Source organism: Homo sapiens, chromosome 16 (assembly GCF_000001405.40).
Source record: "Homo sapiens chromosome 16, GRCh38.p14 Primary Assembly".
NCBI classification, from domain to species: Eukaryota; Metazoa; Chordata; class Mammalia; order Primates; family Hominidae; genus Homo; species Homo sapiens.
The window spans coordinates 11498002-11515464 of record NC_000016.10 but is presented as its reverse complement, the minus strand read 5'-3'; the positions used below and the strand labels follow the sequence as shown (position 1 = coordinate 11515464).

The 17463-nt window shown below is 51.9% G+C and overlaps 1 protein-coding gene across 3 annotated transcripts in view, besides 2 other annotated features; it reads left to right on the top strand.

Annotated features, from left to right (window-relative positions):
- LOC400499 (putative uncharacterized protein) overlaps positions 1 to 17463 on the top strand; it is a 155563-nt gene that overhangs the window by 12113 nt on the left and 125987 nt on the right. For all 3 annotated transcript variants that reach the window (NM_001395505.1, NM_001370704.1, XM_047434105.1), the window contains exons 7-10: positions 926 to 1106; positions 6610 to 6749; positions 13285 to 13388; positions 14496 to 14661. In NM_001395505.1, coding sequence (NP_001382434.1) covers positions 926 to 1106; positions 6610 to 6749; positions 13285 to 13388; positions 14496 to 14661 — 591 coding nt within the window. The remainder of the gene's footprint in view (positions 1 to 925; positions 1107 to 6609; positions 6750 to 13284; positions 13389 to 14495; positions 14662 to 17463) is intronic.
- Positions 13093 to 14024: an enhancer, noted in NCBI's record as "H3K27ac-H3K4me1 hESC enhancer chr16:11595297-11596228 (GRCh37/hg19 assembly coordinates)". NCBI's record gives its function as "activates a minimal SCP1, AML or CMV promoter by ChIP-STARR-seq in primed H9 embryonic stem cells {active_cell/tissue: H9 hESC(primed)}" and the evidence as "EXISTENCE:reporter gene assay evidence [ECO:0000049][PMID:30033119]".
- Positions 16758 to 17306: an enhancer, noted in NCBI's record as "H3K27ac hESC enhancer chr16:11592015-11592563 (GRCh37/hg19 assembly coordinates)". NCBI's record gives its function as "activates a minimal SCP1, AML or CMV promoter by ChIP-STARR-seq in naive and primed H9 embryonic stem cells {active_cell/tissue: H9 hESC(naive and primed)}" and the evidence as "EXISTENCE:reporter gene assay evidence [ECO:0000049][PMID:30033119]".

Genomic DNA, 17463 nt, shown 5'->3' with positions numbered 1-17463 from the left:
ATTTCCTTAGAGGCAGAGTCCCACTCTGTCACCCAGGCTGGAGTGCAGTGGTGTGATCATGGCTCAGTGCAGCCTTCAACTCCTGGCCTCAAGCGATCCTCCTGTCTCAGCCTCTTGAGAGTAGCTGGGACTACAGGCACAAGGCACCATTCCTGGTTAAATTTTTTTTTTCTGGATTTTTAGTAGAGATGGTGTCTTGCTGTGTTGTCCAGGCTGATCTTGAACTCCTGAGCTCAAGTGATCCTCCTGCCTCAGCCTCCCAAGTAGCTGGGACTACAGGCACACACCACTATGCCTGGTTAGTTTTTTAAAAAAAATTTTAGTAGAGATAATGTCTTGCTATGTTGCCCAGGCTGATCTTGAACTTCTGAGCTCAAGCGTTCCGGCCACCTTGGCTTCCCCAAGTGCTGGAACTACGGGAATGAGCCACCACGCCCGCCCCTCTGTCCTTTTCCCCACGCCCTCCTCCCCGCCTCTGTCTCTAGCTCCCTGAAGAGGCAAGTGCTTTGTAAATACCAAACATCTGCAGGAGGATGAGAAGTGATCATTGTTCATGTTCACTTACTATCAAAAGTCTCAGCATCTAAGAGGTGGAGGTGGGCCTCTGCTGTTTGAAATGTTTTCATACTGACGCTTTGTCATTCCTCTCCTGGGGGGTCACTGTCTGCTAGACTTTCTTGTTTCCCCTCGTCCTTGTCATCTCCGGTGTGCCTTTGCCTGGGCTGATGTTGCCACAATCCAGGCGAGCCAGGGGTGGGTGACGCAGGGATGCAGCCCTCAGGGTCTCCTCCCCAGCCTCGCTGAGTGGGGAATGGGGGGTCTACAGCTCTGATGTGTCCCTCGTCCCTCCTCCCCTTGGTCCCAGCTGGGTCCTGTGGATGGCTAGATCCTGGCCTGAGCTGTCCCTTCCCCTCTTGGTCCGCAGCCCGGCCTGACCTCCCGCCTGACCTGCGTCCAGAGCTTCCGGGCCGGAGTGCTGAGGGAGGCCTCCTGCACAGAGCTGGACTCCGCGGGGCCACTTCCTGCAAAGGCAAGCGCTGTGCAGATGAGGACCCTCTCCTCACTCAGTCTGCTGCACGAGATGCCCCAAGATCCAGCGGGCACAGGTGACCTCAGCCTTCCCTGGTGGCCACCCCCTGGCCGTGGCATGAGGGGGTCTGGCCAGAGGGGCCCAAGCAGGCCCAGGTTCCGTTCCTCTGTCCCGGCCTGGACACCTCTGACCTATTGCTGAAAATGGTTATCATCAGGAGAGTTAGCCACTTCTAGAAGGTTCTCCAGGCTCTTTCTGAGGCTCAGATCAAATGGCCCTGGCTTGGTTGAGTCCCTTTTCCCTGGGATGTCCTTGGTGAAGATGGAATCTTCTGTTTCTCAACCTTAAATTCAGTGACCCCTCAGTCTGCCCATTTTAGGGGCAAACTGACTCAGGTTTCCTGATTTTCCAGAAAGTTCCTGCTAACACATAGCATTCCCTGGGACTTGGTGCCCTCCTACAATTCTGCACAGAAAGAAACAAGCGAGGCCTATATCTGGGGGGAGGATTGCTTTTCCATGTTTGGAAACCAGTTGTCTTCCTGAATAATGAAATAAGAATGGTTATTCTTACTGCTGGGACTTTGGAAGGATTTACTGTGGGCCAGTTGCTGTGCTGAGCACTTTATGTGTATTTAATTTAATTTAATTCTCATCAAAACCCCATTAGGAAGGTAAAATTAGTTAAATTTAAATAAAAATTTTGGCCAGATGTAGTGGCTCACACCTATAATCCCAGCGGTTTGGGAGGCCGAGGTAGGCGGATAACTTGAGATCAGGAGTTCGAGACCAGCCTGGCCAACATGGAGAAACCCCGTCTCTACTAAAAATGCAAAAAATAGTTGGAAGTAGTGGTGGGCGCCTGTAATTCCAGCTACTCGGGAGGCTGAAGCCGGAGAATCGTTTGAACCCGGGAGGCGGAGGTGCAGTGAGCCAAGATCATGCCACTGCACTTCAGCCTGGGCGATAGAGTAAGACTCCATCTCAATAAATAAATAAATAAATAAATTTTTAAATTTTTTTTTTTTTGGAGACACAGTCTCGTTCTGTTGCCCAGGCTGGAGAGCAGTGGTCTGATCATGGCTCACTGTAGTCTCAACCTCCCCAGGCACAGGTGATCCTCCCACCTCAGCCCGCCAGGTAACTGGGACTACAGGTGCACAGCACCATGCCTGGCTAATTTTTTGTTGTTGTTGTTGAGACAGGGTTTCACTATGTTGCCCAGGCTGGTCTCGAACTCTTGGGCTCAAATAATCCTTCCACCTCGCCCTCCCAAAGTGCTGGGATTACAGGATTACAGGTGTGAACTGTTGAACCCCGCCGATTAAATTTTTCGTATAAGTGACCTGTGGCTCAAAGAGGTCAAATGACTTGTCCAAGGTCACACGGTGAGTGAGAGGCAGGGCTGGGACCTGAACCCCTGCCGTGTGTTCTGCAGCTCTGGCTGGTAATAGCGTTTACCTTGGAGGGCAGGCTCCCGGCACCCCCTGGGGGAGAACCCACTAGATGGGACCTTGGGATTTCTCCGACTTCGCTCTGCACCATGGGATGCCTTCTAGGATCCCAGCTTGGTCTGCCCTCCCCGCACACCGACCCTCAGCTACAGAAACTAGCTGTGCCTGGGGGCATCCAGGCTTGCCAGGACCCAGTGGTGTCCCACTGAGTTGGATGAGATTTCTTTTTTTTTCCTCCTTTTTAACAGCTTTATTAAGAGAGAATTCACATACCATACAATTCACCATTTAAAGTGTACACTTCAGTGGTTTTTAGTATATTCAGAGTTGTACATCCATCATCACCACAATCAACTTTATTATTATTTTATTTTATATTTTGAGATGGAGGCTTGCTTTGTCGCCCAGGCTGGAGTCCAGTGGCGTGATCCTGGCCCACTGCAACCTCCTCTCCCAGGTTCACGCAGTGCTCCTGCCTCAGCCTCTGAGTACCTGGCATTATAGGTGTGCACCACCATGCCTGGCTGATTTTTGTGTTTTTAGTAGAGATGGGGTTTCCCCATGTTGGCCAGGCTGGTCTCAAACTCCTGACCTCAGGTGTCTGATCTGCCTGCCTCGGCCTCCCAAAGTGCTGGGACTACAGGCGTGAGCCACCGTGCCAGGCCCCTTTATTATTATTATTTTATTTATTTATTTTTTTGAGATGGAATCTGGCTCTGTTGCCCAGGCTGGAGTGCAGTAGCATGATCTCAGCTCACTGTAACCTCCTCCTTCCGGGCTCAAGCAATTCTCCTGCCTCAGCCTCCTGAGTAGCTGAGATTACAGGCATGTGCCACCATGCACAGCTTATTTTGTGTTTTTAGTAGTGATGGGGTTTTACCATCAGGGTGGTCTGGAACTCCTGACTTCAGGTGATCCGCCCACCTCGGCCTCCCAAAGTGCTGGGATTACAAACATGAGCCACCGTGCCCAGCCTTCAACTTAAGAGACAGTCTTGGTCTGTCGCCCAGGCTGGAATGCAATGGTACCTTGGCCTCCTGGGGTCAAGGGGTTCCCCCAGTGTCAGCCTCCCCAGTACAGCTGTGCGCCACCATGCCTGGCTATTTTTTAAATTTTTTGTAGAAATCGGGTCTTGCTATGTTGCCCAGGCTGGTCTCAAACTCCTGGTTTCAAGTGATCCTCCTACTGCAGCCTCCCAAAGTGCTGGGATTACAGGTGTGAACCACTGTGCTCCGCCTTAGTCAACTATAGAACATTGTCATCACTCTAAAAAGAAACCTTGTGCTCATTAGCCATCATCTTCCCAGACCCTGGCAGCCACTCAACTACTTTCTGCCTCTAATTTTCCTGTTCTGGAATTTCATATAAATGGGGTCATAAAGTGTGCCCTTTTGTGTCTAGCTTTTTCACTCAGCACGGTGTTTAAGGTTCATCCATGTTGTGGCATGAATTGGATTTTTTTCTTTTTCATTGCTGAATAATATTCCATTGTACAGAGGAATTTTTTCATATTTTCACTGTCATTCCCAGGAGGCTTTGGAGTCAGAACTGGATTCAAATTCTGACTCTATGTTGTGTGACTTGGGCCAATAGCTTCTCTCTGTGCCTCAGTTTCTTTAGCTGTAAATATACGGGTAGGTCACCCCTTACCCCATAGGTTATGGGGAAAGTTACAGAAAATGGTCAGCTGGGCACAGTGGCTCAAGCCTGTAATCCCAGCACCTTGGGAGGCCAAAGTGAGCAGATTGCTTGAGCCCAGGAGTTTGACACCAGTCTGGCAACGTGACGAAACCCCATCACTGTGAAAAATACAAAAAATTAGCCAGGCATGGTGGTGTGTGTCTGTAATTCCAGCTGCTTGAGAGTCTGAAGTGGGAGGATCACCTGAGCCCAGAAGGTCGAGGCTGCAGTGAGCTGTGATCGCGTCACTGCACTCCAGCCTGGCGACAGAGTGAGACCCCTTCTGAAAAAAAAAAAAAGAAAATCATCATTGCCTTTAGCTAAGCACCTGGCACGTGGCCTCTGTGAGCACTGGTTCACATCATCCTGGCCCCGTTCTTTAGGGCCTGATCCCAAAGGCATACTCAGAAATGAGACTTTATCCCTCCTTGAAGTTCCGCGCTGGGCTCAGATGGCCCTGGCTTGGCCCTGTCTTCCTCCCTGGGTTGGAGTCATCTGGTTCCCAACTGTCGTGGGAGAATTCTCCTTAGGTTTGCAGATTCTTGGCAGGTCATCAGGAGTGTGTTTTCATTCATGCTTACCCGAAATGCTTGTCTGAGCACCTGTTGTGTGCTGAGCACTGCCGGGGCTCTGGGGACAGGCCTGTGATCATGGTCAACTCCATTTCTGCCACCCTGAGGCTGACACCCTCCTGGGAGGGGGAAATCATTGATGGGGAAAAAGCCTAGTCAAGGTGGCTTGAGACTGTGATCCATGTCAGGAAAGAAATTAAACAGCTGCATGACAGCCAGTGACTTAGACAGGGGCGCCAAGAGGGCCTCTCTGAGAAAGTAATGAAGGATAAGACAAGGTCAGCTTTGGGAAGATGCAGGAAAGAGCATTCAGGGCGGAAACAGGAAGTGCAAAGGCCCTGGGGCAGGCACGACCTCTGTGTGTCCCAGGCACCTGGGGGGCTAAGGAGAGGTCTGAGGATTAGATGGATGAATGTGTGCACCTGTGTGGAGCTAGACACACTGCGAGGGCAGGTGCCCAGGCCTGCAGGCAGCCAGATGGTGTTGGACAGCATCTAGAAGGCACACGCCTTTGCTAAGGAGCATTGAAGCTGAGGGAGGTGTGGACTGTGGATTCGAGGGTAGGTCTTTGGCTGAGATGTGGGGGTCCAAGCGGGGCTCAGGGAAGTTTAACACCATGGCTGTGTGTAGAGCAGAGGGCAGTTTCTGCCATCACCCATCTTTATTAGGAAGCAGTCACAGGACGAATGCATGAGAGAGATTAAGATTTATTGTTTTGACAAGGTGATGTGTGACATGGTACAAAAGGACACGGTTAAAATGAGTCCCCCCTCTCCAGAGGCTCACTCCATTCCTGGCTTCCAGTATACTCTTCCAGACAAATTCTGTGTACTTACAGATACATAGGCAACTGTGTCTGTTTGGGTGGTCTGGTTGTTTTGTTGTGTTTTGTTTTTTTGAGACAGAGTCTCACTCTTGTCACCCAGGCTGGGGTGCAGTGGAGTGATCTCAGCTCACTGCAACCTCAGCCTCCCAGGTTCAAGCAATTCTTCTGCCTCAGCCTCCCGTGTAACTGGGATTACAGGCGCCTGCCACCACGCCCAGCTAATTTTTGGTATTTTTAATAGAGACAGGTTTCACCATCCTGGCCAGGCTGGTCTCGAACTCCTGACCTCGGGTGATCCACCCACCTTGGCCTCCCAAAGTGCTGGGATTACAGGCATGAGCCTCTGTGCCAGGCACAGAGTGGTCTATTTTTATTTTTGCACCATACATTGTTCTGCATCTTGCCTTGGTCACTCGATGGCTTGGAGATCTTTACAAGGCAGGGTGTGTCCTGCTGACTTGTTTCTGTTAAAGGATACTCAGTGTTGGCTGGGCATGGTGGCTCACGCCTGTAATCCCAGCACTTTGGGAGGCCGAGGTGGGTGGATCACAAGGTCAGGAGATTGAGACCATCCTGGCTAACATGGTGAAACCCCGTCTCTACTAAAAATACAAAAAAATTAGCCGGGCGTGGTGGCAGGCGCCTGTAGTCCCAGCTACTCAGGAAGCCGAGGCAGGAGAACGGCGTGAACCCAGGAGGCGGAGCTTGCAGTGAGCCGAGATCGCGCCACTGCACTCCAGCCTGGGCACAGAGTGCGACTCCGTCTCAAAAAAAAAAAAAAAAGAAAAAAAAGGATACTCAGTGTTCCCTGATGTGAGTGGCCCACAGTTTGTTTGCCCAGCCCCTGCTGGTGGGTACATAGGTGCTTCCCATCTTAGGCTGTTTGCAATGACGCTGCTATGATTTCCCTCGTAGACACCCCTCTTACCTGTTGCCTGAAACATGCTGAAGGAAGCACTGGAGGGGGTGGGGGCGACTCCCAGAGGGCTTTCTAGCTCACTCTGGCATTTCCCCATATGGTCATCCCATCCACCTCTTACCATCTCAGATCCAGATGATAGAGACGATGAAGACATGACCCCAAGCAGCCTGCTGTATGAGTGGGAGGAGACACCATCCCAGGCCATGGTGGCCACCGCAGCCACATTAGTAAGGAGGCTGTGCCTGGCTCAGACCACTAGCTTGGAGGTAAGTGGCTTCTCCAGCCCCAGGCCAGAGTCTTTCTTGGCCCTGAGTCCCTAGGACACCTTCCTCTTCCTGCCCATATCCTGGCCCATCCTCTCAGATATTTAATATCAGGGCTGTCACCTATGGGTGGGTAGGTTGTGCACTGCACAGCTGTGCCTGGTTGCAGAAGCAAGGAAATCTAGATGGCGTGTGCCAGGCCAGTGCCCCAGTCCAGGTTGGATGTGAGCAGAGGGGAAGCCTTTTCTCCTCTGTCTGTCTACGAGCACACAACAGTCCTTTTGACTCACAGTCTAATCTCCCAGGCCTAGCAACATCTGAGCCTCAGCATTGAGGACTTCCCACAGCAAAGTTAGAAACACATGGCCCAGGCCTCCTCCGAAACTCCTGGCTGTTTCAAGTCAGGAGGTGGATGTGGCTTTGAGACTTAGGGCCAGTTCCTTCGTTGGTGATCATCAAGAATCTGAGGCCCTGAGGCTGTGCTGTGATGATGAGATTCTCCTCACCATCTGTCTTGTTCTGAGAGAGGGCCCTGAACCCACATGTAAGATGGAAAGCACGAGAGAGATGGTTTAGCATGGCACAGTCCCTGGGGGAGGAAAGTGATGTGTCATTGGATTGAAGACTCATCCAGATAATCTAGAATGATCATATCTCAAGATCCTTAACTTAATTACATCTGCAAAGATCCTTTTTCCAAATAAGGGAAATTTACAAGTTCCAGGGCTTAGGACATGGACATATCTTTTTGGGGGCTTCCATTCAATGTTCTACAATTTTTTTTTTAGACAGGGTCTCATTCTGTTGCCCAGGCTGGAGTATAGTGGTGAAATCATGGCTCACTGCAGCCTTGACCTCCCTGGCTCAAGTGATCCTCCCACCTCAGCCTCCAGAGTACCTGGGACTGCAGGGGCATGCCACCACACCTGGCTAATTCTTGTGTGTTTTTTGTAGAGACGGGGTTTTGCCATGTTGCCCAGGCTGGTCTTGAACTTCTGGACACAAACAGTCCTCCCACCTCAGCTTGCCAAGGTGTTGGGATTACAGGCGTGAGCCACTGCGCCCTGCCAGGGCTTTACAGTTTAATTGAGCACTTAGTGTATGCTCAGACAATAAGCTCCGGGGCCTCACTTGCGTTATCTAATTTAATCATCTCAGTGAAATTCATATCATTGTGCCCATTTTACAGATGAGGAAACTGAAGCTTGAAGAGTTTAGGAAATGTGCTTAAAGCCACACTGCTAGCAAGTGATAGAGCTGGGCTGTTAACCCAGGCAGCATGGCCCAAAGCAGGGTTTCTCGCCCTGGGTGCTGTGGACACCGAGGGCTGGGTCATTCTTTGTGGAGTGTGTGGGGGAGGCTGTCACGTGCAATGTGGGATGTTTAGCAGCATCTCTGGCCTCTCCTCACTGGATACCACCATCATCACCACCTGCAGTCCGTGGCAACCAGATGGCCCTGGGGAGCACACTTGTCACCAGTAGGGGACCGCTGCTCTGTGGCCTGTGCTCTAACCGTTGCACTGCCGAACCTCATGGCTTGATGGGAAGACAGCACTGCATTCTTTGGCCCCAAGAGGACCCCTGACCACCTAACTGGACATTTCCCCTGGCAGGGGTGGCTCAGGGCAAGGGCTGTGGGCCTCGATCTCCACTTTTGGACGCTGGCGGTGCTAGCCCCAGAGGGCACTGTGCGGCTGTCTTTTACTTACAGCATTGAAAAAAAGGAAGTTACTGCCACCGTGGAGGTCCCCTGGGCTGAGGGGTGAAATGCTGAGGACCCTGTTGCTAGAAATGGCTTTGCAGGGACACATCGGTGCACACCAAGCAGCTCCTGGGCCCCCGGGAGGGCTGAGGGCCTGCCTGGGTTGCCAGGGGGATAGACCTCATGAGCTTCGGCTTGAAATGCCTCTGCCCCTCCCCATTGATGGTGGGCAGGAGACAAGGTTTGTTTTTCAGTCTGGAAACAAAACCAGGACTCAGCGCTCAATAGAAAGCAAACCCCCGAGTCGGGCCTTCCATAGAGAGGCCCCGGAGTTTCGATGTGGGGGGCAGAGGGTGGGATGGCCAAGGGCGTCCCTAAGGAACAAAGGAGGAGGAAGCAAGGGTGCAGTGGGGTTGGGAGGGGACAGACAGACGGAGCCAGCAGGGCCAACTTCTCCAGGCTGCCAGGAAGGATGCCTGGGAGAGGGCATGGCTTATCACCAATCTTGGGTGTTCTGAGAACAAGGAGCTCGAGTTACAGGTGTTTATTAAGGACGGTTTACACTCACGAAATGGCATAGACAGTGGCAGAACAGGACTGGCTCATACTGGCTCACAAGAGTGGGTGAGTAGACTTCCGGATGTCCCACAGGCTGGTTGTTAAACACTGCTGTTTTAAACATTAAGTTGTGGCCAGGCTCAGTGGCTCATGCCTATAATCCCAGCACTTTGGGAGGCTGAGGCGGGCAGATCACCTGAGGTCAGGAGTTCAAGACCAGCCTGGCCAACATGGTGAAACCCTGTCTCTACTAAAAATACAAAAATTAGACAGGAGCCTGTAATCCTAGCTACTTTGGAGGCTGAGACAGAAGAATCGCTTGAACCCAGGAGGCGGAGGTTACAGTGAGCCGAGATCACTCCACTGCACTCCAGCCTGGGTGACAAGAGTGAGACTCCATCTCAAAATAAATAAATAAAATAAAATAAATAAAGTTGTTTTAGCATAGCTGACTAATGGGTGCAAATATACACTTCAGTAGAAGAAATCAGACTCTAATACTCAATAGATTCCTAGGATGACTATAATTAAGATAATCCTACACTTAAAAATAGCTGGAAGAGAAGAATTTGAACGTTTCTAACGTAAAGAAAAGGTGGTTACGGTGATGGATATCGCAATTATCCTGATTTGATTAGATGAATGTATCAAATTATTTCACGGGTACCCTGAAAATATGTGAATCTATTGTGTATCAACAAGTAAACAGGCCGGGCACAGTGGCTCACACCTGTAAACACAGCACTTTGGGAGGCTGAGGTGGGTGGATCACTTAAACCCCAGGGGTTTGAGACCAGCCTGGGCAACACAGGGAGAGAGCCCATCTCTACAAAAAATAAGCCAAGCATGGTGGTACGTGCCTGTGGTCGTGGCTACTTGGGAAGCTGAGGGAGGAGGCTGGCTTGAGCCTGGGAGGTTAAGGCTACAGTGAGCTGTGATCAAACCACTGCACTCCAGCCTGGGTGACAGAGTGAGACTCTTCTCCAAAAAAAAAAAAAAAAAAAAAAAAAAGAAAAGAAAAATTAAAAAAATCAAATAAAATGAATTATATTAGAAACAAAGGTATTAAGTACTCCCAACCATGACTACCTGGTTATTTTACTACATTTTACTATTGTCTTTCCATTAGAGGTTAGTCATGTTTATTGTAACTGTGTGGTGGAAATATGACATGACGTGCTAAGGTGCATTTCTTCCCAGGTCTGTCCTTAGCAATTGCAAGTTGGTAGCTTGAAATCGACCATGGTGGGTATATTTACACCATGACGATCGGCAAATGCTACAAATCAGGACTTTTTTTTTTTTTTTTAAGCCATTGCATATAGGATGCTTGTTAAGAGTGTGGGTTCAGGAGCTGGTGCCCTGGGTTCAAGTGTCTGCTCTGCTACTGAGTAGCATGCGGCCACCGGCCCCTGCCTCAATCACTTTGAGTGTCACTTTCCTTCTCTGTCAGCTTAGACCAGTTGCTGGAACATAGTAAAAGCTCCTTACTAAGTAACTAGTGGCGTAGTTGTTATTACAATTTTTTTTTTTCGAGACAGGGTCTTGCTCTTTCGCCCAGGCTGGAGTGCAGTTGTGCGATCTTGGCTCACTGTAACCTCTGCCTCCCGAGTTCAAGTGATTCTCCTGTCTCAGCCTCTTGAATAGCTGGAATTACAGGCTCATGCCACCATGCCCAGCTAAGTTTTATATTTTTGGCAGAGATGAGGTTTCACCATGTTGGCCAGGCTGGTCTTGAACTCCTGACCGCAAGTGATCTGCCTGCCTCGACCTCCCAAAGTGCTGGCATTACAGGCATGAGCCACTGCACCCAGCCTTATCACTATTATCATGTGTTATTGGTGGTGATGGGGATGGCAGTTTTCTTATCGACCTACGTATCCGTCTTTTTTTTGGGGGGGGGGACGGAGTCTCGCTCTGTTGCTCAGGCTGGAAAGTGCAGTGGCGTAATCTCGGCTCACTGCAAACTCCACCTCCTGGTTCAAGTGATCTCTTGCCTCAGCCTCCTGAATAGCTGGGATTGCAAGCATGCAACACCACGCCTGGCTAATTTTTGTATTTTCAGTAGAGACAGAGTTTCACCATGTTGGCCATGCTGGTCTCAAACTCCTGACTTCCAGTGATCCACCCGGCTCGGCCTCCCAAAGTGCTGGGATTACAGGCGTGAACCACCGCGCCAGGCCCTGGACTTGATTTCTAGGCAGGAGCCTTGGACCCTTTGCCTCCATCCGTAGCCTGCCTAGATCTGCCCTCTTTTCTCCTTTTGAATTTGTTCTTCCTCCAGTGGAGGGAAACCAGGATAAGCCACTAATGATCCCTCCTGTCGTGCCTGGATCTGAAAGGCGCATTCTCAGGGTAACACTTGTGGCCAGAGGCTTGCCCAGAGGAGGAGGAGTGGTCCCGGGCAGGCACCATCCCCAGGTGCCCATCTGCACACGTCTTCCGAACCCAGGGTGCCAAGGGCAGCTGGGGAAAGGCAGCCACCAGCCAGAGGGAAATGTGGCCGAGCCCATTAGGAAGGAAGGAAGGAAGCAGGCCTGGAACTGACATTTTTTGGATAGACGCCCCAAACTGGGCAATAGAGTCTTTTAGGCTACCAGTGGTCAGGGCCAGCTGCGATGGTGGCAGTTAGCCTGCAGCAGGGGCTGGCTTGTGGGTCCTGCCGGAGGAAGGAAAGACAGAGCTGAGGGTTGCCACTGGCTCTGACCACAGAAGGCACATTCTGGGAAGGCTGCCGGGACTCTGGTGGGCAGACACGTTGGCAGGTGGGCCGAGTGACCAGTGAGGGCCTGTTTTGCAGGCTGCGTCTTGCTGAGATCGAGCTGCGTGTGCAGGGATTCTGTCACAGCCACACACAGCAGGGAGGCCCAGGGTCAGGGAAGCAGGTCCCAGCCTCGGAGGACCTCTGGGTGGGTGGGGGATTCAGGCCTGGCCCTGGCCAAGCCTGGGGAAAGTATGGGGGCTTCCCTGCAGGAAGCTGGGACCTGGCTTGGCTCGGCTCCTACCTTGTTGCTGTTTCTGTGGCTTTGGGTTCAGGCCAATGCAGTGAGCCTGAGACTTCAGGGGTACCAGGAGGGAAGGTTTTCCAAACTAAACATCTCCTAAACCCAGGGGCTGTTCTCTGAGTAGAGTCCTTTATTTCTTGTGAGTTTTGGGCCCTCTGCACCCCCTATAATGCCCTTTATTAGCCATCACTGTTAATAATTGTATAAAACAATTTTTTTATTAGGAATATTGGAAAAGGGTGGGCGCGATGGCTCACACCTGTCATCCCAGCACTTGGGGAGGCCAAGGTGGGAGGATCACTTGAGCCCAGAAGTTTGAGACCAACATGGTGAAACCTCATCTCTATGAAAAATACAAAAAAATTAGCTGAGCGTGGTGATGCACACCAGTATTCCCAGCTACACGGGAGGCTGAGGTGGGAGGATCGCTGGAGCCCAGGAGGTTGAGGCTGCAGTGAGAAGTGACTGTGTTGCAGCACTCCATCCCGGGAGACAGAGGGAGATCCTGTCTCTTAAAAAAAAAAAAAAAAAAAAGGTGGTCCAGGTGTGGTGGCTCATGCCTATAATCCCAGCACTTTGGAAGGCCGAGGCGGGCAGATCACAAGGTCAGGAGATCGAGACCATCCTGGCTAACATGGTGAAACCTCTTCTCTACTAAAAATACAAAAAATAAGCCAGACGTGGTCACAGGTGCCTGTAATCCCAGCTACTCAGGAGGCTGAGGCGGGAGAATCGCTAGAACCCAGGAGGTGGAGGTTGCCGTGAGCCGAGATTGCGCCACTGCCCTGTAGCCTGGGCAACAGAGTGAGACTCCGTCTCAAAAAAAAAAAAAAAGAGTATGTATATTATGTAGGAAAAGATTGCCACCTCGCTAAATATTTGAAATATGCTAAGACTCATTAGAATAATTATATTACAATCATAGTGAACATTTATTGGGGTTTTATTAGATGCCACAGATTCAGACACTATGCCTGTTCTTTCACTGCCATATCCTGAGTGCAATGCAAGGCACATAGTAGGTGCTCAATAAATACCTGCTAAATCAGAGAAAAATGAGCCAGCTTGTATGCTTGTAGGGGCTTGGGGTGCAGTGAGGGAGAAGCCAGACCTGGAGCTTCATCTCACTGGGTCTCAGCACATCCTGGGAGAAGGTGGTAGGTCCTTCCCACTTTCCCCACGGTTGTGCTTACAGGCAGGGGACGGGTGAGGTGACCTTCGGGGATCCCCCGCACTGCTGGGTGTCTCATGCTGCCCCCTCTGAATCGCAGGCCATGGACTTGTTCCTGACACTGGTGTCCCAGCTCCAGGGCCTTTCTGGGGGTGAGCTGATGGAACTCTGGCAATATTCTTCCTTCAAATGCCGAGACAATGGGTAAGGTCCCTCTCCGGGTGGGGGATGGACTAGGAGCTGGCTGGGGGCATCCCTGGGTTAAAGGAGTCTTCGTGCTGTCCTGGGTTCCCAGTGAGGGATGGATGCTGATGCGTCATCCCGTCCCCTTGACACTGACTTGTCCTTCAGTCTGAGAATGTGCGCCAAGAAGGAGATTAAGTGGGGAGCCTGGAGGTTCCCACGGGGTCCAAGCTCTATCCTGCCTGAGACCAGAAGCTGAAGGGCCTGGCGGATAAAGACAGCCATTGTTCCCTTCCCCAGACAGGGACCCTCTTGCTGGAATTAGCATTCCAATGCACCTAGGGTACCCTCCTGCTGGGGGCGTGGAGAGTCTGGGCTGGGGGGTGCTGGGCAGGGCCGGCATTCCACCACCCAGACCTTGCTGATCTGGGGCTAGTAAGGCGGGTAAAGAGACTCCCAATCTCAGAGGGGAATCTCTGAGGCACTAACTCAGTCAGCTTACGGCTATGCTCAGGAGTTTGAGACCAGCCTGGGCAACATAGCAATGCCCCCATCTCTACAAAAAATTTAAAAGTTAGCTCGACTTGGTAGCGAACACTTGTGGTCCCAGCTACTTGGGAGGCTGAGTGGGAGGATCACCTGAGCCCAGGAGGTGGCGGCTACAGTGAGGTGTGATCGCACCACTGCACTGCAGCCTGGGTGACAGAGTGAGACCCTAACTCACAAAAAAAGAAAAAATAAATGTCCTGATGTTGTGCTGAGTATTCGAGGTTTAAATTAGGGACTGTTTGCTGATTGCTGGTTCCTGTTCCGCTAGGGATTTTTACCCCTTCTCGGTGACATTTGCTTGGGTGGGTTTCAGCAGAGCACTGGGTACGGACTTGTGTTTTCCCACACCAGTGTTTCTTGGGTGGGTAGAGCTGCCGGGGTCTGGGCTGGGTGCTGCTGTGCTGAGAGCACGGGCCTCAGCCAGACTGCGGGGTCCCAGACCCGGGTCAGCCCCTCCCAAGGTGTGAGGGTGGGCATGTCTGCACCGTACCTCTCTGAGCCTCAGTTTACCCCCGGGTGACTTCGGTGAGATGAGCTTTGCAGGCGCTCAGCACGTGTGGGTCGCCTTGATGATCTCAGGCAGCCACTGTTGGATGCCCTGCCTTCCTGTGGGACGGAGCACTGTGTGGGCCTCATGAAGGAACTCATCGCATCAGCCGCGGTGGAGGCAGACGAGGTGGAGGCGTGGCTCTCATCACTGGCCTTCCTCCCACAGCCCACAGATGCTATGGTCCACATGCTGCTGGTGAGTCCCTGCACCCCACCCGGGGCCCCGGTGTCCTCCCTCCGTGGCTTGGCTGCTGGTTAGATGTGGGGGAGGTGATCAGTTCTTTTGTGCCAGCCCCTCGTAGGATAAGCAGAGGAGGCCAGACCACCCATCCTCCTGGGCTTCTGTGGCGGGTTCAAGGCAACCTTTGGTATCAGAGAATTCCGGGTTCAAGGGTCAGCAATGTGCCTCCCACCTGTGTGATCCCAGGCAAGTGATTTAACCTTCCTGAGCTTCTTTTCTGATTATTATTATTATTATTATTATTATTTAGGACGGAGTCTTGCTCTGTCGCCCAAGCTGGAGTGCAGCAGTGCGATCTCAGCTCACTGCAACCTCCACCTCCTGGGTTCAAGCAATTCTTCTGCCTCAGCCTCCCAAGTAGCTGGGACTACATGAATGCACCACCCCACCTGGCTAAGTTTTGTATTTTTTTCAGTAGAGACGGGGTTTCGCCATGTTGGCCAGGCTGGTCTCGAACTCCTGACCTCAAGTGATCCACCCACCTCAGCCTCCCACAGTGCTGGGATTACAGGTGTGAGCCACCACGCCCGACTGTTTTCTGGTCTCTATAAGGAGGATGGCAGTGGTACCTCTATCCTGGTCTTATAGTGAGGAATGAAATGCTGTGTGTGAAGTGGTTCTCCTGGTGTCTGGCACTAAATCTGAGCACTTGAAATCAGAGCTATTATATTTATAAACACACATATTTAATGAGTCTGGAGATTAGGAAATCTGTGTGAGATGAGGTCAATAATTTCTACGATATGTGGAGGTCTCATTTAACCCTTGAGGTGTCTCTATGAAGTAGGTGCTCTCATCAACCCCATTTTGCAGGTGAGAAAACCGAGGCCCAAAGAGGTAGGGCAGCTTGCCCAAGGGATTGCAGCTGCTCTGCCCTTCACCTCAATTCTGACCTGAGACCTTGGGGTGTGTCCTCACTTTCCTGGGCAAGGGGGTGTCACCTGTCACTCCCCATCTTGTCCCGGCTAATAGTGAGTGCCAAGTCAGATGGCATCGGTAGGGAGCGGGAGTGAAGACACAGCTGGTGCCAGGCAGCTGGGGTCCCTGGGGGCATCAGAGACCCCTGCATTGGTAGAATGGACCCTACCAGGATCTGAGAGCCCCTGGAGCTGGTCCAGCCCTGGCTGTCCCTCCAGGTGGAATATAGGGAGCCCTTGCCTTCTGGCCCCTGACCGCAGGGTTTGAGGTGGGGCTGTTCCAGGTAGACTGTGTTGTTGGCTCTGCTCAGCAGACAAGAATCAGGCACTGACTCAGAGCCAGGCCCAGATTGGGTCCCAAGAGGCATCACCCACAGTTCACAGCCTAGCAGGTGGCACGCTGGCCACCAGGAATGCCAGAACCACCCAAGACCTGCCCTGGGCTTAGCCCATCTCCCTGGAAATGTCTGTCTCCTTCCCCTTCCCCCATTCCCCTCTGCCTCCCTTCCCCCTCTCCCCTCTCCCTCCCTTCCCCCCTCCCCTCTGCCTCCCTTCCCCCCTCCCCTCTGCCTCCCTTCCCCCCTCCCCTCTGCCTCCCTTCCCCCCTCCCCTCTGCCTCCCTTCCCCCCTCCCCTCTGCCTCCCTTCCCCCCTCCCCTCTGCCTCCCTCCCCCCTCCCCTCTGCCTCCCTTCCCCCCTCCCCTCTGCCTCCCTTCCCCCCTTCCTCTCTTTGCCCCCTTTCTCCCTTCCCCCTCCCCTCTTCCTCCCTTCCCCCCTCCCCCCCTTCCTCCTTTCACTCGTTTATTTGTACATATGTTCGATTCATGTGCAGTAACTAAGAGCACAAACCCATCTGGACTTCCTCATTTCAGATCCCAGCCCCATTCCTCACCAGCAGGACCTTGGGCAAGGTACTTTACTTTCCCAGGCCTCAATTTTCCCCGTCTGGACAATGGGACTATTTTGTAGAATGACCTTGCAGACCAGGTGAATTGTATGGTGTGTGCGGAGGGAAGTGGCTGTTGCCATTAGTCTGGGACACAGCACTGAGCCAAGCAGGTGGCATCGATCGGCTTGTGGAGCCCAGAAGCTTCCTCTACCTGCCTCACATGTGATGTTCCATGTGCAGGCCAGAGCTCATGCCTCTCTGGGCTGTATTTTCTTGTTCTGTCATCGAGTCAGCAAGGCCCTGCATGAGCCCTGGCAGGTTCTGGGAATGCACCGGGTTCGTGAAGCCTGGGGAGAGGAGGGGGGTGGGAAGTGGGGAGTGAGGGGCAAGCAGGGAGAGAGTATTTTAATGAACTTTTAATTTCGGATTAATTTTATTTATTTATTTAATTATTTAATCATTATTATTTTTTGAGACGGAGTCTCGCTCTGTTGCCCAGGCTGGAGTGCAGTGGCGCAATCTCGGCTCACTGCAACCTCCACCTCCCGGGTTCAAGTGATTCTCGTGCCTCAGCCTCCTGAGTAGCTGGGATTATGATGCACACCACCAGGCCCGGCTAATTTTTTTGTATTTTTAGTAGAAATGGGATTTCACCATGTTGGCCAGGCTTATCTCGAACTCCTGAGCTCATGTGATTTGCCTGCTTCGGCCTCCCAAAGTGCTGGGATTACAGGCATGAGTCACTGCGCCCGGCCTTCTTAATGGTGTCTTTCAATGAACAAAAGTTCTTCATGTTGGTGAAGTGTGGCTTCTTGATGCTTTGTAGCTGGTGTTTGATCTCCCCCAGGTCCCAGTGCTTCCTGGCTTGTCTTCTCCCAGTTCTGTTTTCTTAGCTTTTCAGGGAGGGTTGGTTTGAGCATGATGACTGAGCTTTAGAATCATGTTGGAAAAG